Consider the following 23,779-nt stretch of genomic DNA (forward strand, 5'->3'; position numbering starts at 1 on the left):
AAGTGGCCATCTGGGCCCACAGTTCTACCTGGGCCTGATCTGCCCCTTTTGGACAGACACCTTCTCCACCGTCTCCACCACTCCCTATTGTCCACACACTCCTGGCTTGCTACCCTCTTTCAGTGACTGCCTGTTCTCTAGTGACTTTAACCTGGGAAGTCACAGTAGGCAGGGCCCAGGACTGGTGGCAGTGGGGATGGGAAAAGAGAAAGAGGGATGGATTTGGCAGCTGGTCTGGGGAAAGAATGTACCAGCTGTGGGGGGATGTCAGAGCTGACTCTGAGGATTCAGATGGGGCAGGAAGATTTGTTCATTTCCATATTTCTTTTAAAATGGGACATCTGGATGAAACATCACTGTCAGCCTCTCCTCCTTCTCCTCCTCATCATCTAAGCCAGGGGTCAGCAAACTACAGCCAAGCAGGTCGACTGCCTGTTTTTGTAAACAAAGCTTCCTTAGAGCATGGCCATGCTTGTTTGTATATTATCTATGGCTGCTTTCACACTATAACGGCAGACTTCTGCAGTGGTAACAGGACTGTAAGCCTTGTAAAGCCTAAAATATTTAGTATCTGGCCCTTTACAGAAAATATTTGTTGCCCTGATCTAAGCTACTACATACTGAGTATTTACTACGTGCAAGGGGCGCTTCTAATGTTCTACATGTACTAACTCACGTGATCCTCAAAAACCTTTGTGGTAAAACCATAATGAAACACCGCTACATGCCCAACAAAGCAGCCCTGACAAAAAAGACAACACCAAGTGCTGATAAGGGATGCAGGGCAACTCCCATTTCCGGCTGGAGTGTAAACTGGTGCAACATCTTTTTTTTTTTTTTTTTTTCTTTTTTGAGATGGAGTCTCGCTCTGTCTCCCAGGCTGGAGAGCAGTGATGTGATCTCGGCTCACTGCAACCTCTGCCTCCCGGGTTCACACCATTCTCCTGCCTCAGCCTCCCGAGTAACTGGGATTACAGGCGCCCGCCACCACGCAGGGCTAATTTTTGTATTCTTAGTGGAGACGGGGTTTCACCATGTTGGCCAGGCTGGCCTCGAACTCCTGACCTAAAGTGATCCACCCGCCTCAGTCTCCCAAAGTACTGGGATTACAGGTGTGAGCCACTGCGCCTGGCCGGGCGCAACATCTTAACACATCCTATGTCCCAGCAATCCTTCTTTGGGTGTATAACCAAAAGAAATGGGTGCATATGTCCACTAAAAGCCATGGACAAAGATGTTCACGGCAGCTTAGTTTATAATAGACCCAAACTGGAGACAACCAAAATGTCCATGAGTTGTTGAATGAATAAATAATACAGATCTCACAGACATTGCGCTGGGTGAAAAAAGGCAGATGCAGAAGAGAACAGACTATACGATTCCATTTAGGTGAAGTTCTAGAATAGGCAAAAATAATCCACGCTGTCAGAAGTCAGAGTAGACGTCATCCCCAGGGTGGGGGGTCATGACTGGAGAGGGGTCTCAGGGAGTCTTCTGGAAGTGCTCTATGTCTTGATCGGAGCCGCGGTGAAATGGATGCACGCATATGTGGAAGAGATGCGCGGTGAAACAGATGCACACGTATGTGAAAATTCATCCAGCGGTCCACTTAAGATCTGTGCATGTTACCTCATGTCAATTCATCTTATGTTAAAAACAGAAAAAACTACGACTGAGGATCAACCACTGCTGCAGGTGCTCAGGCAGCACCCACTCACTCCGAACATGCACACGCCCTGTGCTCAGCAACGCTGCTGTGAGGAACGGGTATAACAGAAATGAGCCTCTATGCTCACCAGGAGCTAGGTTCTAGACAGTGCTCAGCAGCGCTATTTGTAATAACCCCAAACTGGAAATACCTAAATGCCCAATAAAAGTAGAAGAAATAAACAAATTGTGGTATAAGCGCATGATGGAATGCTGGGCAGCAAGAATGAACTCAACATAATACTAAGCAGGAGAAGCCAGATGCAGAGTGAATCTGTAACGCTAAGAGTCTGAATCATCGTTATCCTCGCGGGAGGGGTGTCGAGTCGGGGGAATTCCGTGAGGGGACTGCTGCGGGCGGTGGTGACATTCTCTTCTTGGCCTACCCGGGTGCTCATTACACATGTCCGTTCAGTGTGCGGCAAGCCTTTGAATGGTACACTCTGTGTATGTACTTTCTGTAAGAATATTCTGTCTCGGCAAAATGTTAAAAAACCAAACTCTTGGAAACAGACACTATTTTTTGAGAAATGAATACATTTTTCTTTTCTTTTTTAAAGACAGAGTCTTGCTCCGTCACCTAGGCCGAAGAGCAGTGGGAAGATCCTGGCTCACTGCAGCCTCAAACTCCCGGGCTTAAGCAATCCTCCCATTTCAGCCTCTCTAGTAGCTGGGTCCACAGGCATGTGCCACCACACCCGGCTAAGTTTTGTATTTTTTTCGTACAGACAGGGTCTCGTCATGTTGCCCAGGCTGGTCTTGAACTCCTGGACTCAAGTGATTCACCTGCCTTAGCCTCCCAAAGTGCTGGGATTACAGGCGTGAGCCACTGTCCCTGGCTGAGAGATGAAAAACTGAGGAGGAGGTGTATGTAAAATGCTCAAGGTCACACTTTTAAGTGCCTGAGTCACAATCTGAACCCAAGTAGTCTGGCTCCTGAGTTGGGCCTCTAACTGCTGGGCCACACAGCCACTCCCAGGCTGGAAAGGTTGCAGCTTACCTTGGAGTAGTCGGAGCCGTGCTTCTCTTTCACCCCGTTCCGACACAGCGTGTAGTTATAAAAGCGGGAGTTTTTAAGGAGTCCGACCCACTCCTTCCAGCCGGGTGGCACGTAGGAGCCGTTGTATTCATTAAGATACTTCCCGAAGAAAGCTGCGGAGGGAGATGGATCAGGAGGCCACGTGAGAAAGTGCCTGACGATGTTTATTAAACTATTGTGTGTCCGAGGCCTGAGCATGCACACCTGCTCTGCCATGGAGCCCTCTGGCACACAGAGCAATGGATCCCTTCTCCAATGTTATTACGTGCATTGAATACAAGATATAGGATTACAGAGAAAATCAATTGTTTGGAAATACGGTTATCAAAATACTAAACACATTTGCGATACAGTGTGTCTTTTATTTTTTATTTTTGAGATGGAGTCTTGCTCTGTTACCCAGGCTGGAGTGCAATGGTACGATCTTGGCTCATTGCAACCTCTGCCTCCCAGGTTTCAAGCAATTCTCCTGCCTCAGCCTCCCGAGTAATCCTCAGCTGGGATTACAGGCGTCTGCCACCATGCCTGGCTAATTTTTTGTATTTTTAGTAGAGACAGGGTTTCACCATGTTGGCCGGGCTGGTCTTGAACTCCTGACCAAAGTGTTGGGATTACAGGCGTGAGCCACCATACCTGGCCTACTGTGTCTTTTAAAACCTTGTAGAGAGCGATCATTTCAGAATAGTTATGAGTGAAAATATTATATTTTGCAGTATCTGCAAAAACTGCAATGGGATATTAAATACTGGTGATTTCTACAGATGACAAAGCTACAGATTCTGCCAACATACTGTGGTTTATGGCTTATGCTCATATTGGAAGCAAATGCTAAGTCTCAGCTGTAGGTTAGTGAAAACCAGAGTGTCACTTTTTTTCCCATTGAAGTTTGTGGATCCCTTGGATTCTGTCTGCTATACAGCAACCAGAATGGCTAACATTAAAGAAATGGGCAACACCTAGTATGGGTGGGGATGTGGGACAACTTGAGCCCTCACACACTGAGTGGCTGCCCCAACCGGTCCAACCACGGTGGGGAACTCTTTGGCTGTGTCTGCTAAATTTGAATGCATTGGTAACTTCTACCCAACAATTTAAATCTTGGGTATTTACCCAACAGAAAAGTATTCATACACTCACCTAAACTCAGGTACAAGACATGACAGCACATTTGTAATAGTAAATAGGTAGAAACAAATGAAATGTTTATCAACAAAAGGATGGGTAAAGAAATTGTTGCATATTTACAGAACGGAAGGCTACATTGAAACTTGAACGAAAGACCTAGTGCTACATTCAAGAACAGGGATGCATCTCAACAACCTAAGAATGTTAAGAGAGATAAACCAGATACAAAAGAATACATGCCATATGACGTCATCTATGTGAAATTTGAGAACAGGCCAAACTAATCTATGATGTTAGAATAAAAACAGTGGGTATCCTGGAGACTGGGGGAGGGTGGCTGGGAGCAGCAAGGGGAGTTTCTCGGGTGATGATCTTGTTCTATTTCTTGCTGGAGCAGGTGGTTCAGTTGGTGACACCTCATTGGCCTGGAGATTTGGGAGCCATGCACTTTTCCACATGCACGCTTTACATCAACAACAAAGCTTAAAGAAAATCACCCTAATTCATCAGGAAGGGGATGTGCCTAAAAGCTCTGTGATAAGGAGACAGACAAGACCTCTTCATGATCCTCTTCTGTTTTTATTTTGCATGTACATTTTTTTTTTCTTTGAGACACGTCACACTCTGCCACCCAGGCTGGAGTGTAGTGGCACCATCACGGCTCACTGCAGCCTCAACCTCCCAGGCTCAAGTGATCCTCCCACCTCATCCTCCCGAGTAGCTGGGACTACAGGCGCATGCCACCATGCCTGGCTTATTTTTGTAGTTTTTGTAGAGAAGGGGTCTCGCCATGCTGCACAGGCTGTTCTTGAACTCCTGAGCTCAAGCGATCTGCCTGCCTCAGCCTCCCAAGGTGCTGAGATGACAGGCGAGAGCCACCGTGTCTGGCTTGCATGTATAATTTTTAATAATTATAATCTATAAAGCCATATTTAAGAAATGGGAAAATTTGAGTCTAGAGACAGCAATCCTATTCTAGTCGTCTCTTTCTAGATGAGGACACTGCGGTTCTGAAATTTCTGACGAGTATTGCTGAGAGCACAGAATATGAGCGTTCCAGGAGGTTGTAGGGATGTAAGGAGATCTTGCTAACAGACAGCTCAGCGCTGGGCCTTGTGCACGTGAGTGCTTGGCCGAGAAGCCAGGATGAAGAGAGAAAGGCCAGGGAGGTGAACCCCCAGAGGAAGGAGGAGAGTGGGTGGGATGGGGCTCTGGTGCCCCTAGAGGAGAGGACAACCTATCCACCAGTGTCCTTGGAGAAAGCACAGAGCCACCTGGCCCTGGGGGAGCTGTGATGGAGCTGGCTCCCTCTGCAGCGGTTTTCCTGGTGACCTGGCAGATGGCTGACACTTTCCAGGAGTGGGAAAACCCCTTAGGAACCCAAGCGGCTGGATTCTGAAACCCCCAAAATACAAGGCAAAGGGGAGCACTTCATTAAATGACTTGCCCATCATGCAGGGCCGGGAGGTGACCGCTCCAGAGGGAGGAGCTGATGAAACACCTCCTGTAAGGGTCTGGGTACACAGGGGAGGTGAAAATAGGAAGGGAGGATCCCCCAGCAGCCTCAGGGGTAAGGTCCGGGATGGAACCTCCCTTTGTGTGGGAGGATGGAGCAAAAATAAACGGGAAGAACCTGGCGTTCTGCAGAGGAGGAGGCGGGGAACCGGCTGCAGTCTCTGAGTCTGAGTCATATCCAGTTTTCACAGAGTGAAATGTAATTAGGTGGTGGGTGCCTAATTAAACAGCGACTGGGCGTCCCTGGCTAGGTGTCAGGGAGTAACTGATGGAGTGGAGGCAGCATGAGATTCCCGGGCAAGCTAAAGGCCTGCACTTCTCTTTCTCTGGGACCTGGAATGTTGGAGATGCCTCAATGCATCCAGCTCCTCAAAGCAGTGGCTCTTGGCCAGAAAGGGGGTAATTTCTGTCCCCAGGAGACACTTGGCAATGTCTGGAGACATTTTTGGTTTCATCACAACTTGGTGTGCTGTTGATATCTGGTGGGTGGAGGCCAAGGATGCTGCTCAATATTCGCCGACGCACGTGACAGCCCCCACGCTACAAAGACTGAGCCAGGACAAAATGTCAGCAGCGCCTAATCCAAGAAACCTTTTCTTTTCTTTTCTTTTTTTTTTTTTTGAGAGAGGGTCTCGCTGTTTTCCAGGCTGGAGTGCAATGGCGTGATGTCGCCTCACAGCAACCTTTGCCTCCTGGGTCCAAGGGATTCTCCTGCCTCAGCATCCCGAGTAGCTGGGACTACAAGCGTGCACCATGATGCCCGGCTAATTTTTGTATTTTTAGTAGAGATGAGGTTTCATCATGTTGGCCAGGCTGGTCTCGAACTCCTGACCTCAAGTGATCCACCTGCCTCGGCCTCCCAAAGTTCTGGGACTACAGATGTGAGCCACCATACGTCGCTGAGAAACCCTATCTTATTTAAATAAACCTGCCTATGGTCCAACCCTCCAGCATCTCACCCCTCAGGTCTTTGGAGCCATATTGTGAGAGCCAGGAAGGCCCCTGGAGACCAAGTGTAGTTCAGGAAACAAGATTTCCTAAACCTTGTGACCTTGACCCCCACCTCTAACGCTGCCCTCCATGCGGGGGGGCTCCACTTCTGTAACACTCCTGGCCTCTCTCCATGCTCTCCCGTACCTCCTCCGAGGGGGACAATATACAGCAGAGGTCACCAAACCTTTCCTGTAAAAGCCAGATAGTCAGTATTTTAGGCTTTGTGGGCCAGAGGGTCAAAGGGTCTCTGTGACAACTGCTAAACCCTATTGTTAGAAAGAAAAAAAAGAAGTCACAGACAAGACATAAACAAGTGGGCGGGTATGTTCCAATAAAACTTTATTTACTAAAACAAATGGAGGGCCTGGTTAGGTCCATTGGCTGTGGTTTGCTGACCCCTAGCATGTGCCTAGTGGATTTGAAGGGCCGAAGTGGGCATGCATAGCCCAATCCCTTCCCTTGCTTTTCCTCTGGGGACTGAGCTGCCCCCGGGGAGGGCTAGTTTTCAGGAGGCTTGTCCTGTCTGCGCGGGGAGGAGAGGTGTGGACCTGCATCAGTGGGAAGTCTGTCACACTCTGGAGTTTAGTCAGGAAGCCCAAATGCTCTCAGAAGGAAGCCATGCCCTCAAACCCAGCCTTCACCAGATTCATCAGAGTGCAGTGTTGACTTTCATCAGCTGACTCTTGGGTCTGATTTCTTAATCGGCTCAGGACCTCAACAAGGAAGAGGGTAAAATTTAATAAGCCCCCACATAAATCGGTATTCCCATTTTTTCTAAGAAAAAGATGAGTTTTATTATTATTATTATTATTTTTTGAGATGGAGTCTTGCTCTTGTCACCCAGTCTGGAGGGCAGTGGTGTAATCTCAGCTCACTGCAACCTCTGCCTCCCAGGTTCAAGTAATTCTTGTGCCTCAGCCTCCTGAGTAGCTGGGATTACAGGCATGGCCACCACACCTGGCTAATTTTTGTATTTTTAGTAGAGATAGGGTTTCACCATGTTGGCCAAGGTGGTCTTTAACTCCTGACCTCAGGTGATCCACCCATCTCAGCCTCCCAAAGTGCTGGGATTACAGGTGTGAGCCACCCTGTCCGGCAGTTTTATTATTTTTTATTCTTCTTTTTTCTCCATTTTCCCCGTGCCCCACTTCGCCCTTTAGAAATGCAATTATAACCTTTTATCTCCCCTACACCAGACACTCTCTTCAGGGCAAGTTCATCTAATCACGTGCTTAGAGGCTCTGGAGCGGAACTCTCACTCACTGGGAGGTTGCCTCGAGAGACAATGGTCCACTACAACCCAAAGTATGCCTGCTGCGAAACTCCCTCCCAGGTGGAGAGCTTCTGGCCACCCTTACAACCTAGTTCCACCCACAAAGGCACCAGTGGCTGCCAGCTGACTTCCCGGTAGATGAAGTACTCGAGTGAGATATGCGGACCCCCCCAGCACTCAATTCCTCCCCTGTGTGCCATTCATGCCAGGCCCCCTTTTAAAAAGCAACTCCTTTCTGCTCCTAAAAGCAAAGCAGTACCCTTAAGGCAGGAAGACTGTACTTCTTCCCCTAAGCTAGCTTTGGAATAAAAAATCACTTTCTTTATACCAGATCTCGCTCTTATTACCTGCGTTTTTGTTACACCCCTACAGAGCCCCGACACTTTCTACTCGTGGCAAACAATACTGTCAGTGATGTAAAAGATTCCTTTTGAAACAACTGAAGTCCAGAGTGAAACAATCTAGGGTAAAATGTTAACAGAATCAGTGTACCTGGGCATGGTACACCTCATGATGGTGGCACTCGAAATTGCTGAATTTGGGGTCCCACTGCCCTAGGGAAGGTATGCATGCCTGTATCCATTCGGCAAGTGTTGATTAAACACCTACGGTATGCAGGGAGCTTCCCAGGCACTGGAATCACAGGAGTGAACAAGACCACCAGGATCCCTTCTGCCCTCGTGCAGTTGATGTTCTAGTGGGGAATGATGACAAATGCGATGAAGAAAATAAAGGAGAATGATAGGACAGAGTGGCCCCACGCAGTGCTGTGAGAGGCCTCGCTGGGCTGAAGAGCAAGAGTCAGAGGGGATAGGAGGAAAACTGTTCCAGGCAGAGGGAATTGGCAGGTACAAAGTCCCTGAAGCCAGTACAAACGTGGGGGCATCGCAGAACCCAAGGGGGACAGTGAGGGAGGGAGGAAATGACATCACGGGGAAGAGGGGACAGATCCCATAGGGTCCTGGAGACTGTCATGAGGAGTGGCAGGGTTCGTACCGCTCCTGGAACATTGCATGCCAGATTTTGCCTTTTGTGCATTTTCCTGGAAACAAGTCCACAGCTTTTGACACATTCTGAAAGGAGCCCAGATCACAAGTCATTTAAGAAGCACAGATTTTCACCCCCTCAGTTTGCAGAAAAGTGAACTGAAAGTCAGAGAAAAAGGCTTCACTGAACTCCCCACTGGGGAACTGGGTTTCCCGCTACACTCCCACATCTTCCAAATCTCCAGCCAGTGAACCTACTGGTTCTTGAAGACTTGGGCCAAGGTCTTTCTGATGAATGCTGGAGTTTAGCTTCTTGGCTTGGCTGCTGGGATATGAATTTCTTCATAGGGAGTGGGTGGGGGTCCTCCTCCTGCCCATTCTTTTCAGTGCCACGGATGTCAGCTTAATGCAAGCTGTTTCCTCTGCTAGCATCTCCCCTTTCACGTCTCTTTCCTTTCTCCAACCCCCAACCCTTAAAAACCCAAAAAGGGTGTATTATTCAGTCTCCACCAGGCCCTAGAAAACAGGGCTTCAGTCAGAGGCTTTTAGTGCCAAATTAGATTTTGCTCTCATTTGATTATATTTCCCCAAGGCACTTTTAAAAATGGTTATTCCGGCACCAGTGGAGGTGGGAGAAGCAAATTAGCATGGGCCCCGGGGCTCCTGGGCTGGGAGATACAGCCAAGAGAATGAGCTGGAATTAAAACCAAGATTAAAAGCCCAGCCCAAATTGTGGCAGGTGGCTGGTGCCTGGGAAGCTTGGATTCGCTGAGCTTTCGAGGCAAGGACAGCACAAGAGGAGGGGCAAGCTGGGGGCTGGCGTGGGGGTGGGAAAATTTGGCAGGCAGATTAAGAGGAATTAATGGCAGGCCAGGAAAGGCCATTGACAATGAGCTGGCTGGCGACTGCCCCTGGGCAGCAGGGCTGGCATCTGCTGAAAGGCCAGAGCACTTACTGCCTCCTGTGTGCCCAGCACTAGGTGGAAGCTTCACCTGCCTGGCTCTGTCATCCTTTGGGCACCAACACTTCCTTATTTAAGTTGCACGGGCTGACCTTGACTGTTGACTCCAGGAATGTGTGCAAATCCTTGACTCCCATGAGGACCGCATTCCCCTGGTGATCATGCACAAACTGGTTAGTTGAGGCAAAGGCATGTGACCCAAGCTGGGCCAACTGCAGCGAGTCAGCCCTGGGATTTTTAGGGAGCTACTAGAAAAGAGAAGGTCTTCTTCCTCAAGGCTTGGAACTGGTGGGATACATAACTGAAGCTGCTGGCAGCCATCTTGCCACCAAGAGGGAAGAGTCTGTGTGTGTGTGTGTAAAGCAATATGGAAAAATGCGGAGGTGGGAAAGATAGAGACAGAGAGACAGAAGAGATAGAGAGATACAAGAGATAGAGAGATAGAGAGATGCTGGTTTGAGGCCCTGGGGATCCACTCTTACCTGAAACCACTTTTTTTTTTTTTTTTTGAGATGGAGTCTCACTCTGTCTCCCAGGCTGGAGTGCAGTGGCATGATCTCAGCTCACTGCAACCTCTGCCTCCTGAGTTCAAGCGATTCTCCCGCCTCAGCCTCTCGAGTAGCTGGGACTACAGGTGTCCAACACCACGCCCAGCTAATTTTTTAATTTTTAGTAGAGACCAGGTTTCACCATGTTGGCCAGGCTGGCCTTGAACTCCTGACCTGAGGTGATCTGCCCGCCTCAGCCTCCCAAAGTGCCAGAATTACAGGCGTGAGCCACCGTGCCCAGCCTAATGTTTTAATTTTTAGTAGAGATGGGGTGTCACTATGTTGCTCACGCTGGTCTGGAACTCCTGGGCTCAAGTGATCCTCCCGCCTTGGCCTCCCAAGGTGCTGGGAATACACGCATGAGCCACCATGCCCACCATATTTTTACTGTACTCTATTAACATGTTCACGTATGTTTAGATACACAAATACTTCCCATTGTGTTACCACCGCCTACAGGATTCAGTATGGTCACATGCTGTAGGGGGGTTTGTAGCCTAGGAGTAATAGGTCACGCCACAGAGCCTAGGTGTGTAGTAGGCTATGCCATCCAGGCGTGTAATGCACTCCATGATGTTCGCACAATGACAGAATCACCTAACGACACGTTTCTCAGCATGTATCCCCATTGTTACGTGACACACGACTGTACATTGCTTGGAACTGGCACATAGCAAGTGCCTACTAAGGGTTATATTTTCATTATCCACCAATGGGCCCGTCCCCTGTTATAGCCAACTTCTTGCTGTTAACATCTGGTTTAATGGAGTCCCCCTGCCCCCTTGGAGAGGATCACTAGCTCCCCATATCCTTCCTGCACCCTGCTTCGTGGCCCAGCAGGTCGGCCACTTCCCCTGCAGGCAGCTCTACGGTGGAGGCTCCACGCGGCTGCTTCCCCATTTGTCTGAGTTAAGTGCTCCTGGGGAACGATTCGGAGCCTGATGGGAGGAGGAGACCCTTCTGTTTTCTCTCCCAGCCCCAAATCTAACTGAAATTGCCTTGTAATAATTGCATTTGTGGTCTGTGAAAGCTGTGTCTCGTGGCGACCAGGGACTGAGATTAGCTGGTGAAAAACCTGGCACAGGGGCACACACGGCATCACTGGGGATACTAAGCAAGCCACGGACAATGGGGGAGACAGAGGGCTCCTGCAACCAGAAACCACTGGGAACCTCGGCCACCTCTCCCTGCTGCAGACATGTCCCCGCCATGCCGGGCCGGCGTAGGAACACGCTGTTCCTCCCAGCATCAGTTCTCCCTTTTCCCAGTAACACAGGTGGTAATGTGGCAGAGTGCCCAAAGCGTCTCTGCAGTCAGACTGTCTGGGTTTGAATCCTGGATCTGCCACCTCCTAGCTGTGGGACCACAAAGGACTTTGTCCCCTGTGGTTGTTGGCAATGAAACGACAGTGCACCCCCACCCACTGCTATGCACGTGGATGAACTGACAGGCATGCGAAGGGTGAAACAGGACCTGATCTGTCCTAGGGGCCTCCCAAGAGGCAGCCAGCAGGACAGAAAGCACCCGCTGCTTTCGGAGGACTTTCTCTCCCCCACGACGGGCCATCTGGCTGGAAATACCAACAGGGCTTCTTTAAGGACATCAGCAACTTTCGGTACATGTTCATCCCACACCATTTCCACCCACACACTACATTAAAGGTAATCGACAAACAGCTCTCTAAGAGTCCAAATGTTCCAGAGCTGACTCGCTGAATCATGCAACACCATTTCATTAAATATTTATTCACTTTGATTTGGCAATTTGTCCTCATATTTTGGAACCAGCACACAAACACATCTACGCACCTGCATAAATATACAACACATACATATACACACATGCATGAATACATATACACAAGCACAAATACACTACATATACATACATGAATATACAACACACATATACACACGAGTGAATACATGACATATAAAAATACACATATGCATTAATATATGGCACACATACGCACATGCATAGATATACAACATTCACATATACACAATGCATGAATATACAGGTACATATGTACATATACACGATGCAGGAAAATACAGTAAAAGCACATATACACACATACACGAATACACAACATACACATATACACAGGATATAAAATCCCAAAAAAGACAGAAATGCATCTTGCTTCTTCACCTGTTTCCTTCTCACAGCCAACTTCCAACTGGACTTCTGCCTCCGCAGCCTTCCCAGAGCCCAGACTTCCCCAAATGGCCAGAGGGCCCTTCTGAGTCCAAGAGCCATCAGGCCGTCTCCCTTCAGGGACGCACTGCTGAGCTCACTCTGTTTCAACTTCTCTAGGTCTCACGCTCCCTAGGAGCCAAGCTCTCTACCCCACCGAGCATTGGCACCTGCTCTTCCTTCTGCCTGGGACGCCTGCCTCCTCCTCACCGTGGCACCTCAGGTCAGATGAGAAGTTGTCCCTGGTCACCCATCCCTCTATAGTCACCGGGCTGTTTATTTCCTCTACAGCACTCTGCACTCTCTGAAATTATCCTATAGATGCATTTGTTTTCTTGTTTATCCTCATTTCCCCAACTAGGGTGTGGGGTCCGTAAGGCAGGAGCCGTGCTGCACTGTAGCCCCAGCGCAGTACCTGGCCCAGAGTGTGCACACGGTGAGCAGTGGCCGACAGGAGGGCTGGGTAGGTGCACCTGATTGAGGTACACAGCTGTGCAAGGTGGGGCAGCGCCCTCTAATGTTAAGCGTCACACCCCTCGCCCAGGAGTGCAGGAGAGGTGGCAACTGCATGTCTTACTGAAAGGGATTCTAGGCCTGGTGTGGTGGCTCACGCCTGTAATCCCAGCACTTTGGGAGGCCAAGATGGGCAGATTGCTTGAGCTCAGGAGTTTGAGGCCAGCCTGGGCAACACGGAGAAGCCCTGTCTCTACCAAAAAACCAAAAAATTAGCCAGGTGTGGTGCTGCACGCCTGTCGTTCCAGCTACTTGGGAGGCTGGGGTGGGAGAATCGCTTGAGCCCAGGAAGTGGAGGCGGAGGCTGCAGTGGACCAAGATCCTGCCACTGCACTCCAGCCTGGGTAACAGAGCCAGACCCTGTCTGGGGGGCAGGGGTGGGGGGAGAAAAAGAAAGGAAGGGATTTCTATTATAGTGTCTGCAGCACAGTGCTACATGCTGAAAAAAATGGGTCAACGGAGCAGGCAGGGCTGCCAACCTGAAGCACATCTGTGTGCAGAATACACTGAACCAGGGGTGATTTTGCCCTGCAGGGGACACTGGGCAGTGTGTGGAGACATTTTTCACTGCTATGACCTGGCGGGGTGGGGGAATGTGCTACAGGCATCTATCGGGCAGAGGCCAGGGATGCTGCTGACCATCTTCCAGTGCATGGGATGGCCCTCCTCCCCCCGTAAAGAATGATCCAGCCCCAAAGTGTCACCAGTGCCGAGGTTGTGAAACTCTGTGTAAAGTGCACAGTTTAAAAAGTTGTCCAAATGTACCATTAACGACAGGGTTGCAGTGTGGCTTTAAAGAGCTTGGTTTGCAGAGTCAGAGGACTCTGACTCCTTGGGCAAGCGAGTGCTCCTGTCTGAGCCTCAGTGAATTCTTCTATAAAAATGGGGGCAGCAACAAATGAGATTGTGCATAAAGAACTCTGAAAAAGGGCCAGGCGTGGTGGCTCATGCCTGTAATCCAAGCACTTTGGGAGGCCAAAGTAGGAGGATCACTTGAGCCCAGGAGTTTAGGTCTGCAGTGAGCCATGATTGTGCCACTGCACTCCAGCCTGGGCAACGGAGTGAGATTCTGTCTCTGAAAAAAAAAAAATAATAAAAAACAAAAAAACAGAAACAAAAAAGAACTGTGAGTTCCCAAAATACAGTCTGCTTTCCGTTTTCAGGGAGGGGGATGAAAACTTGGACCTCTGGAGAAATAAAAATGGTTGTTAGAAACCAGATGTGACACCGTTTTGGAAAATGGCAAGGCCCCTCCGAGACTCCAGTAATGAGCTTGGGGAGGAGTGTTCATGCCGCACAGTGAAGTCGGCTGAGCATGACACACATCTATCAGCAGAGATGGGCTGGAGCGCGGAGCCGAGCCAATGACAATAAACAGTGTTTGCCAAAGCAATTCAGAGAGGTCGGCGAAAGATGAAGCAGAAGCCTGTGGAAAGTCCGTCCTTCCCAAAACAGACCCGCGCCATTTCGCAGGCACGGAGTCTGCGAAAACAAAACGGGGTCTTTGCCCTTCGTGGCATCATCTCAATTCCAGTTGTCCGCGTGCCTCTCACACACGTTTGGCCGTTTTTATGTATCATTTGGACCGCTGCATACTTAGTAATTTCCTTCAAATCACTTCATTTGGTGTCAAATCAGCACTTCACACCGGCCTCTTGATTTTCGCCCTGTGATCCATACATCCGTCAATGCCAGTGGGTCAAGGCTACGCACCATGGAGGGGACTTCAGCTCCTCTGTCCTCCCTCACATATGTCCCAGCAGCTTCACCCTCAGGACACATCCAGGTCTGACCACTTCCCATCATCCGCCTGTCACCATCTTGGTCCAAGCCACCACTGCCTCTGCCTGGACCTTGCTGGAACCTCGTCCCTGGTCCTCCTGCCTCCACCTTCAGCCCATCTTCCACAGCAGCCAGAAGGATCCCATTAAATCACAAATTTGATCAAGCCCCCCACTCTGTGCAAAGCCCTTCAGTGGCTCCACATCCACCTCAACTAAAATCCAAAGTCCTTGCCATGCCCTACAAAGTCCTATAACTGTCTCCTGTCCTGCTCCGTGACTGCATCTGCCCCCACTTTCCCCCCAGCCTCCTGTCCTGGGGTCTCCCTCTATCCTACCAGCACCCCAACCCCAAAGCTCATACCTGCCCCAGGGCCTTTGCCCTTGCTGTTACCTGAAAGAAATCACCTTCCTCAGATACCTGCATGGGCTGCTTCCTCACCTTTCCCAGCTATTTGCTCAAAGCTTTTAATTTTTTTCCAATACAGGGTCGCACTCTGTCACCCAGGCTGGAGTGCAGTGGTGCGGTCGTGGCTCACTGTACCCTCAACCTCCCCAGGCTCAAGCTATCCTCCCACCTCAGCCTTCCAAGTAGCTGGGACCACAGGCACAAGCCACCATGCCCAGATAACTTTTGTATTTTTTTTTTTTTTTTTTTGTAGAGACAGGGTTTCATTATGTTGCCCAGGCTGGTCTCAATGCCTGGGCTCAAGCGATCTGCCCACCTTGGCCTCTCTCAGTTCTGGGATTACAGGTGTGAGTCACCATGTCCAGCCTCAAATGTTAACTTACTGGGGCTCAATCCTAACCCTCCTATTCAAATGGCATCTCCCCACACCGCCCAGGCTCTCCCCTTTCCCCCGACATTGCTTCTCCACATATTTATTCACTGGTCATATTTATCTGTCTTCTAGTTTTTATCACGTGCTTCTCCCACCAGAGTACCAGCCCCATGAGGGCAGCGGCTTTCTGAGTCCCTTGTCCCCTGTGTCCTCACATCTAGAACAGAGCTTGGTCAGTGACGAGACCTCGATGAACGTTTGTGGAATAAATGGGTAAACAACTGAACCAACGAACACCTCGTAATGGGAGGCCTGTGGGAGACACAGCTGAGTGAGGGAATGTCGATTTTTTTTTTTTTTTTTGAGATGGAGTCCCACACTGTCACCCAGGCTGGGGCGCAATGGCACGATCTCGGCTCACTGCAACCTCTGCCTCCCGGGTTCCAGTGATTCTCTTGCCTCAGCCTCCCGACTGGCTGGGATTACAGGTGTTCGCCACCATGCCTGGCTAATTTTTGTATTGTTAGTAGAGACAGGGTTTCACCATGTTGGCCAGGCTGGTCTTGAGCTGACCTCAAGTGATCCACCCGCCTTGGCCTCCCAAAGTGCTGGGATTACAGGCGTGAGCCACTGCGCCTGGCTGAGAACGTAGATTTGTTTTTTTATCATCCGGTGCACACCCTCTGTGAGTGGAGGAGTGGGTAGAATTGTTAAATTCTTGTCTTCCTATTTGCTTGTATGGTGTTTGGCTGGCTGAACTTGGATCTATTTGGCCCACACGGGACATGACTTCCATTTGTGGATGTGCTTTATAAAACCAAAAAAGCACTCAAGGTCAGTGTAAGGCAACAGCAGTGCTTTTCAATATGGTCAAAATTTATTAAGGAACCCAGAGTCCTGTGTATGTTGGTTATATCTAGTGATAGTTATTATATTAGAGATGAAAACTGAGAAATTTAAAACATATTTGTTCACTCATTTAAATAATAAACTCACTACTTGTTAGCATACATTTAAAAAATGATAAATAGAGGCTGGGCGTGATGACTTATGTGGTCAGGAGTTCAGGACCAGCCTGGCCAATGTGGTGAAACCCTGTCTCTACTAAAAATACAAAAATTAGCCGGGTGTGGTGGCGGGCGCCTGTAATCCCAGCTACTTGGGAGGCTGAGGCAGGAGAACTGCTTGAACCCAGGAGGTGGAGGTTGCAGTAAGCTGAGATTGCACCACTGCACTCCAGCCTGAGTGACAGAGCAAGACTCTGTCTTGGGGAGAAAAAAAGATAAATAACTATATTTTTCCCAAACAAAATACAATTAATGAGAAGAGTTGCATTGTTTTACATTTTTGCCAATCTCTTCAATGTCTTGTTTACTGGAAGGCAGCAGGATTCTTAAATCTGTTTTGGCATTCAATCTGCTGAGATATATTGTTTTGGTTGTTTAACATGAAAAATCCAGCCTCACACAGACATGCAGGCCAGGGACAGTGGCTCACGTCTGTAATCCCAGCACTTCGGGAGGCCAAGGCAGGAGGATTGCTTGAAGCAAAAAGTTTGAGACCAGCCTGCGTGACAAAGTGAGACCTCATCTCTACAAAAACTAAAAAATAAATATATATAAATATAGCCAGTCGTGGTGGTGTGTGCCTGTATTCCCAGCTACTCGAGAGGCTGAGGTGGCAGGATCACTTGGACCCAGGAGTTCGAGGCTGCAATGAGCTGTGATTGTGCCACTGCACTTCAGCCTGGGTGACAAGCGAGACCCTATTTCTAAAAAATAAAATAAAATGGGTATGCAGATGGAAAAGGGAAGAGTATTTTAATCCTTTTTAGATAACTAGATATGCTATGTACCTGCTAGAAAACTCCACTGTCTACCAGAAGGAAAATGACGGTAAAAAGGTAAACAGTGTCCTGGTATTATCATGAAAATAGTTTTGAGTCTAGAGATCCTGGGACCACGCTTTGAGAGCCACTGGTTTAGACGATGACCTACAACATCCCAGTGAGGTAGATCCTTTTTTTGGTCCCTATTTTACAGATGGAGAAACTGAGGCACAGAGAGGCAAAGTCCCCTTTTCACCGAACATCCCACAACTGCCAAGTGTCAGAGCTGAAATGAGGCTCAATCCCAGGTTGTCTGTCTCCACCTGCCTTTTGGTGACTACCCTGTTCAGCCTCTCAGCAGGACTCCAGCGACCACAGACTGGAGCTCTTCCCATCCACGGGGACGCAGAGAGGCAGGGAAGAGGGAACAGCAGAGGGACTGCCCCATGGCTAAAGGTGGGGACACACACAAATGGGACTCAGCCTCCGAGAGCTCCTCCTCTCCGATGTGGCTCAGACTATCTCCGAAGTGCTTTCTGCCAGAATTCCAGGCAAAGGGAATTTCCACACTGAGGTTATCTTCCCATGCTGCATCCTCCCAGAATTCATCCGGCCGTGGGCTTTTGAAGGAAGGTCATTCCCAGGACCCGGGCACTTTGCCTTTCTTGAAGCATAGGTGGGGGACACAGGTAGGAGCCATAGTCGTTATCCAGATCAGTCTTTCCAGAAGTGTAGGGTTTCAGAGATAATTTTTTTTTTTTTTTTTTGAGATGGAGTCTCGCTCTGTCACCCAGGCTGGAGTTCAGTGCTGCGATCTCGGCTCACTGCAAACCTCCGCCTGCCAGGTTCAAGCGATTCTCCTGCCTCAGCCTCCCGAGTAGCTGGGATTACAGGCATGCGCCACCACCATGCCCAGCTAATTTTTTGTATTTTTAGTAGAGATGGGATTTCACCTTGTTGGTTAGGATGGTCTTGATCTCCTGACCTCGTGATCCACCTGCCTCGGCCTCCCAAAGTGCTAGGATTACAGGCGTGAGCCACCTGGCCTGGCCTCAGAAATGATTTTTATCCTCCGAGGCAGGCAGGTCTGAGGGCTGGGCATGGGCTCTGGAGCCAACAGCTTGCATTTAAGTTCAGCTACCTCTGCCTTCCAGCTCAGTTTTCTCAACTGCAAAATAGGAATAATAATAATATCCCTACATGACAAAGTTGCTGGGAAAGATTCAATGAGAAAATATGTTAACTGCCTCTAAATGGTTACTGTTTTTATCATAATATTATTGATCATGATGTTATATATTCATTCATTCAATCAGTAAACATTAAAGGAGGACTCCTGTGTGGCTGGGATGGCTCTAGGCACTGGGGATACCAGTGAACAAAACAGAAAAAATTAAAGCAGCAAAAAACCTGCATCTTCCTGGAGCTTCTGTCCTAGAATTAAGGCCAGTCCGAGGCAGGGAACTGGAATGTTTGGAGACTCTCACAGTCATTCAGGAGACAGACTGTGATGACCACAATCGTGGCAGGCGAAGGGCTTGGGTGGTTGGTTCCAGGCTATTTTTAAAGGTGGAACCAATGGGATTTGCTGATGTGGCATGCGAAAGAAGTAAAGAGAGTCAAGGATAACTCAAGGTTTTTGGTCCAAGCAATGAGGAGGACAGATTTGCCCTTATTTAGGAAAGGGACACTGGGAGGGGCAGAGTTGGGGATGGGGGTTGATAAAGAAATCAGACACATTAACCTCGAGACTCAGGTTAGACATTCAGGTGGAAACAGACCAGGTTCACAGAAAAGCTACGGAATTACAAACTGAGGAGCTGTAAGCATTTAGATGGCACTTAATGCCATGGAATCGAATCAGATCACCTGAGGAAGAGGTTCTTAATCTGTTGTCCCAAGATATAATTTCCTGAAATTGAATGGCAAAAGTATGTATTTGTTTATTTTCATTAACCTATAACTAGCATCCCCTTCAATTATGAATGATGGTCCCTGGGACTTTGTCACCAATGGGAATTACGGATATTTTCATATCACATTGTAGTCAACATGGACTTCTTAAAATATCATTTGAGCCAGCGCTACTTCGAAATCATGGAAGTTATCAGACCTATCCATTGTCCATTAAATAACTGCTTCATCGTGCCATTTTATGTGTAAAGAAGCATACATATCACAGTTTATAAAATATTTTGATAAATATGTTTTCATATAACTGGCTTCCTTTGTAATTCTCTGTATTTTCTATGAACTGGAGGGGTACACCAGGTGGTGTGTGACTTCTGGAAACTCCCCTCCAGGAAGGGAAGTGAGCTTCCCTTATAGTTTCTGTGTCCTGCTGGTTGGATGCAGACAGGATGGGATGCTGCTTTAGATAAGGACGATCGCCCAGGATGATGGAACGCCATCTGACCATCACCCATCAGGAGCCTGGGAGCCAACACCATGCCTGCCACATCATCTCTAGGCTGTTTATGCCCAAACTGTCAAATGGGAGAGAAATAAGCACCTATCATCTCTAATCCGCTGTTAATTAGGGACTGAAGTACCCTCAACTCCACCTATATTCTAATAAATCCTGGGGGTATCTGTGGCACAAATCCAGTGGGCTGGCGCCACTTAGGAGGGCTCAGCAAACTATTTCTGCAAAGGGCCAGACTATGTGTTTTCAGCTATGCAGCCATAAGGTCTCTATTGCAATGATTCAATTCTGCCACCGTAGAGCCAAAGCAGCTACAGACAGTACATACACTAATGGGTGTGGCTGTGTTCCAGAAAACTTTGTAAAACCTGGCAGCAGACTCCTGTAGGCCACAGTTTACTAATCTCCACCATGCAGGAATGTTACCAGTAATGGCAATACCATCATTATCATTATTATCTTTTTCAAATTTTTGTTTTATTTTTTGAGACAGAGTCTTGCTCTGTTGCCCAGGATGGAGTGCCACTGCACTCACTGCAAGCTCCACCTCCCAGGTTCACGCCATTCTCCCACCTCAGCCTCCCGAGTAGCTCGGACTGCAGGCACCTGCCACCACGACCGGCTAATTTTGTTCTTGTATTTTTTATTAGAGACGGGGTTTCACGGTGTTAGCCAGGATGGTCTCGATCTCCTGACCTCATGATTCACCTGCTTTGGCCTCTGAAAGTGCTGGAATTACAGGCTTGAGCCACTGCACCTGGCCTTTATTTTATTTTATTTTTTTTGAGACAGGGTCTCACTTTGCCACCCAGGCTGGAGTGCAGTGACATGATCTTGGCTCACTGCAACCACTGCCTCCTGGTTCAAGTGATTCTCCCACCTTAGCCTCCTGAGTAGTTGGGAGTACAGGTGCACACCACCACGCCCGGCTAATTCTTTTGTATTTTTAGTAGAGACAGGGTTTCACCATGTTGGCCAGGCTGGTCTTGAACTCCTGGCCTCAAGTGATCCACCCACCTTGGCCTCCCAAAGTGCTGGGATTACAGGCCTATCATAATCTTTTTTTTTTTTTTTTTAAAGAGAAGTTTGTAATCTGGGTATTTTTGGTTAAATTTCCAGATTTTAAAAAGCATCTTGTAACTCTGACAGAAATTTGGGGTTGAAGTGTAGACTCAGGCTGCCAGCTGCCATTTTGCAAGATCCATATTTGGCCCCCAGGGTCACAAAATAGAAACTGAGCTGGTTCAGGCTGAGTTTTGATCCTACCCCTGACACCAGTAGAAGAGTCCTCCACTGGGCCACTTTCATGATCTGTCATTTGGCTTCCTGGGGCTCCCGGTCTGGGCAGCAGAGAACAATCCCATTAACCTAGCAGGGGAGCTGGAGGTTCCTGAGGAACAGTGATAAATGAAAAGGAAGCCCTTTTGCAAACTCTAGAACAGCATAAATATTAGATGTGAAATGCCACAGGACTGAAGTCTTTGTTTTTTTGGCAGACAAATTGGCTGAGGAGGCAGGGCTGGCAAGAAATGCATTAAATAAACCCAGAGCTCCACAGCTCTCAGGGCTGGGGTATTTCTGATATTCTGTAACTGGATCCTTTTAACTTTGTGCTGCTTTGCAAGGTTACAGCCTGAGTCGAGTTCTTCTGCTTTTGAAAAAAAAAATACCAAATGCAAATCACTGCACGAAGTGATAAATCAATGCTATAAAAGTTCTGGATGCCAGAGATGGGATCTTGCTGAACTGAAAGCTGTGTGAAAACAAATGAGGAAGGTGGGGTCATGATTCCGCACGAAAGAGGCATCTTATGTTGGAAGCAGAGCGAGCTGGGGGCTGGGAGAAATGCTCTCCTCCCACTTGCCCTTTAAGAAGAAGCTATTTTTTTTTTTTTTTATGAGACAGAATTTCACTCGTTACCCAGACTGCAGTGCAGTGGCATTATCTTGGCTCACTGCAACCTCTGCCTCCCGGGTTCAAGAGATTCTCCTACCTCAACCTCCCCAGTACCTGGGACTACAGGCATGCGCTACCACGCCTGGCTAATTTTGTATTTTTTTAGTAGAGACGGGGTTTCACCACGTTGGTCAGGCTGGTCTCGAACTCCTGACCTCAACTGATCCACCCGCCTCAGCCTCCCAAAGTGCTGGGATTACAGGCGTGAGCTACTGCGCCCGGCCTGCATGTGGGTTTCTATAGTGGATATCTGTTTTATTTTTCTGCCCAGAATCCATTCTCCTGTCTTTTCATAATTGTGCCTTCAGTCACCAAAGAGGGAGGGAACCAATCTTTCCCCTTTCTCAGCCTTACATGTTCTGATGAGGCTCTTTCTAGCTCTGAATCCTGGACCAGGCCCATGAGGTTGGCCTGGACAATCAGGGTATCTCCTTTTGCCTGGCTGCTGTGATTGGGTGAAAGAGACATAAGACCCTAGATGAGCCAATGAGAGCTTTCCCTGGAACTTTTGCTGGAGCCCTTGGAAAGAGGCCTCTCTTTCAGCTGGGGTCACCACACTGGGGAGATGGACCTGTGGGGGCCATCTTGCCATCACAAAGAGGGAACCTTCCTAATAAAGCCAACCCAATGACAGAAAACGCAAGAAGCAGAAAGACAGGGTTCTGACAGCGTTTGAGCACTGGGACCTGGCAAAGTTTGCCTGAACTAATTTCGATTATGTTTCTTCATGCTGGATAAATGAGATAGTAATCTAAATTCCATTTTGTTTTTATTTTTTTGCTGACTTCAAGCCTAAGGCCCAAGAGTTCTCCATCTGTTCATTTTTTTTATTCGTTTGAGTTGAGGTTTCACTTGCCCAGGTTGTAATGCAGTGGCACGATCATGGCTCCCTGCGGCCTTAAAGGCCTGGGCTTAAGTGATCCTCCCATCTTAGCCTCTCAAAGAGCTGGGACCACAGGTGTGTGCCACTATGCCTGGCCAGTTTTTAAAATTATTTGTAGAGACAGGGTCTCTCTATGTTGCCCAGGCTGGTTTTGAACTCCTGGGCTCAAGTGATCCTCCCACCACAGCCTCCCGAAGTGCTGGGATTACACGTGTGAGCCACCGTGCCTGGCCTTGTTCAAATCTTTACTGAGTACCCAATACCTGCCTGGTGCTATTTTTGGATGGGCAGCAAACAAAACATGTAAAAAACAAGTTCACTCGCCAGGTGCAGTGGCTCACGCCTGTAATCCCAGCACTTTGGGAGGCCGAGGCAGGCAGATCACTTGAGGTCAGGAGTTCGAGACCAGCCTGGCCAATATGGTGAAACCCTGTCTCTACTAAAGTACAAAAATTGGCTGGGTGCGGTGGCTCATGCCTGTAATCCCAGCACTTTGGGAGGCTGAGGCAGGTGGATCACTTGAGGTCAGGAGTTCAAGACCAGCCTGGCCAACATGGTGAAACCCCATCTCTACCAAAAATGTAAAAAATTAGCCGGTTGTGGTGGCATGCAACTGTAATGCCAGCTACTTGGGAGGCTGAGGCAGGAGAATCGCTTGAACCTGGGAGGTGGAGGCTGCAGTGAACCAAGATCGTGGCACAGCACTCCAGGCTGGGCGACAGAGCAAGACTCCGTCTCAAAAAAAAACCAAAACAAAAAACGAAAATTAGCTGAGTGTAGTGGTGGGTGCCTGTAGTTCCAGCTACTTGGGAAGCAGAGGCAGGGGAATTGCTTGAACCTGGGAGTTGGAGGTTGCAGTGAGTCAAGATCATGCCACTGTACTCCAGCCTGGGTGGCAGAGTGACAGTCCATCTCAAAAAAAAGAAAAAAAAAAAAGTTCACAAACATGCAAGATAATTTCAAGGGGGCGAGAAGTCCTAAGAAGAACATAAAGCCGGGTGTCATGGTCGAGAATGAGAGGGTTGAGGAGTACTAACCGACACAGGAAGGGCAGGAAGGAAGAGAGAATGGATGGAGGAAGTTCTCCGCAGTGTGTGAACAACGCTCTAGACCAGGGATCCCCAACCCCTGGGCTGCAGACAGGTAGACAGGTAGCGGTCTGTGGCCTGTTAGGAACTGGGCTGCATAGCAGGAGGTGAGTGGCAGGCGAGTGAGCAAACTTCATCTGTATTTACAGCCGCTTCCCATCACTTGCATCACTG

General features: G+C 48.6%; 1 protein-coding gene across 18 annotated transcripts in view, besides 5 other annotated features; it reads right to left on the reverse strand.

The window, feature by feature from the left end:
- The window catches only part of SULF2 (sulfatase 2), a 129,222-nt gene that overhangs the window by 42,406 nt on the left and 63,037 nt on the right, over positions 1-23,779 (reverse strand). For all 18 annotated transcript variants that reach the window (XM_047440296.1, XM_047440295.1, NM_198596.3 and 15 more), the window contains exon 4: positions 2,708-2,859. In XM_047440296.1, the coding sequence (XP_047296252.1) occupies positions 2,708-2,859 (152 nt within the window). The remainder of the gene's footprint in view (positions 1-2,707; positions 2,860-23,779) is intronic.
- Positions 1,903-1,962: an enhancer, noted in NCBI's record as "active region_18005". NCBI's record gives its function as "activates an Ori minimal core promoter by ATAC-STARR-seq in GM12878 lymphoblastoid cells {active_cell/tissue: GM12878}" and the evidence as "EXISTENCE:reporter gene assay evidence [ECO:0000049][PMID:35858748]".
- Positions 10,785-11,285: an enhancer, noted in NCBI's record as "H3K4me1 hESC enhancer chr20:46339340-46339840 (GRCh37/hg19 assembly coordinates)". NCBI's record gives its function as "activates a minimal SCP1, AML or CMV promoter by ChIP-STARR-seq in naive H9 embryonic stem cells {active_cell/tissue: H9 hESC(naive)}" and the evidence as "EXISTENCE:reporter gene assay evidence [ECO:0000049][PMID:30033119]".
- Positions 11,286-11,786: an enhancer, noted in NCBI's record as "H3K4me1 hESC enhancer chr20:46339841-46340341 (GRCh37/hg19 assembly coordinates)". NCBI's record gives its function as "activates a minimal SCP1, AML or CMV promoter by ChIP-STARR-seq in naive H9 embryonic stem cells {active_cell/tissue: H9 hESC(naive)}" and the evidence as "EXISTENCE:reporter gene assay evidence [ECO:0000049][PMID:30033119]".
- Positions 11,567-11,736: an enhancer, noted in NCBI's record as "experimental_60494 CRE fragment used in MPRA reporter constructs". NCBI's record gives its function as "activates a minimal promoter by MPRAs in K562 erythroleukemia cells, with activity observed for the introgressed 20:46340207 variant allele {active_cell/tissue: K562}" and the evidence as "EXISTENCE:reporter gene assay evidence [ECO:0000049][PMID:34662402]".
- Positions 12,604-12,673: an enhancer, noted in NCBI's record as "active region_18006". NCBI's record gives its function as "activates an Ori minimal core promoter by ATAC-STARR-seq in GM12878 lymphoblastoid cells {active_cell/tissue: GM12878}" and the evidence as "EXISTENCE:reporter gene assay evidence [ECO:0000049][PMID:35858748]".

Source organism: Homo sapiens, chromosome 20 (assembly GCF_000001405.40).
Source record: "Homo sapiens chromosome 20, GRCh38.p14 Primary Assembly".
Taxonomy (NCBI): domain Eukaryota; kingdom Metazoa; phylum Chordata; class Mammalia; order Primates; family Hominidae; genus Homo; species Homo sapiens.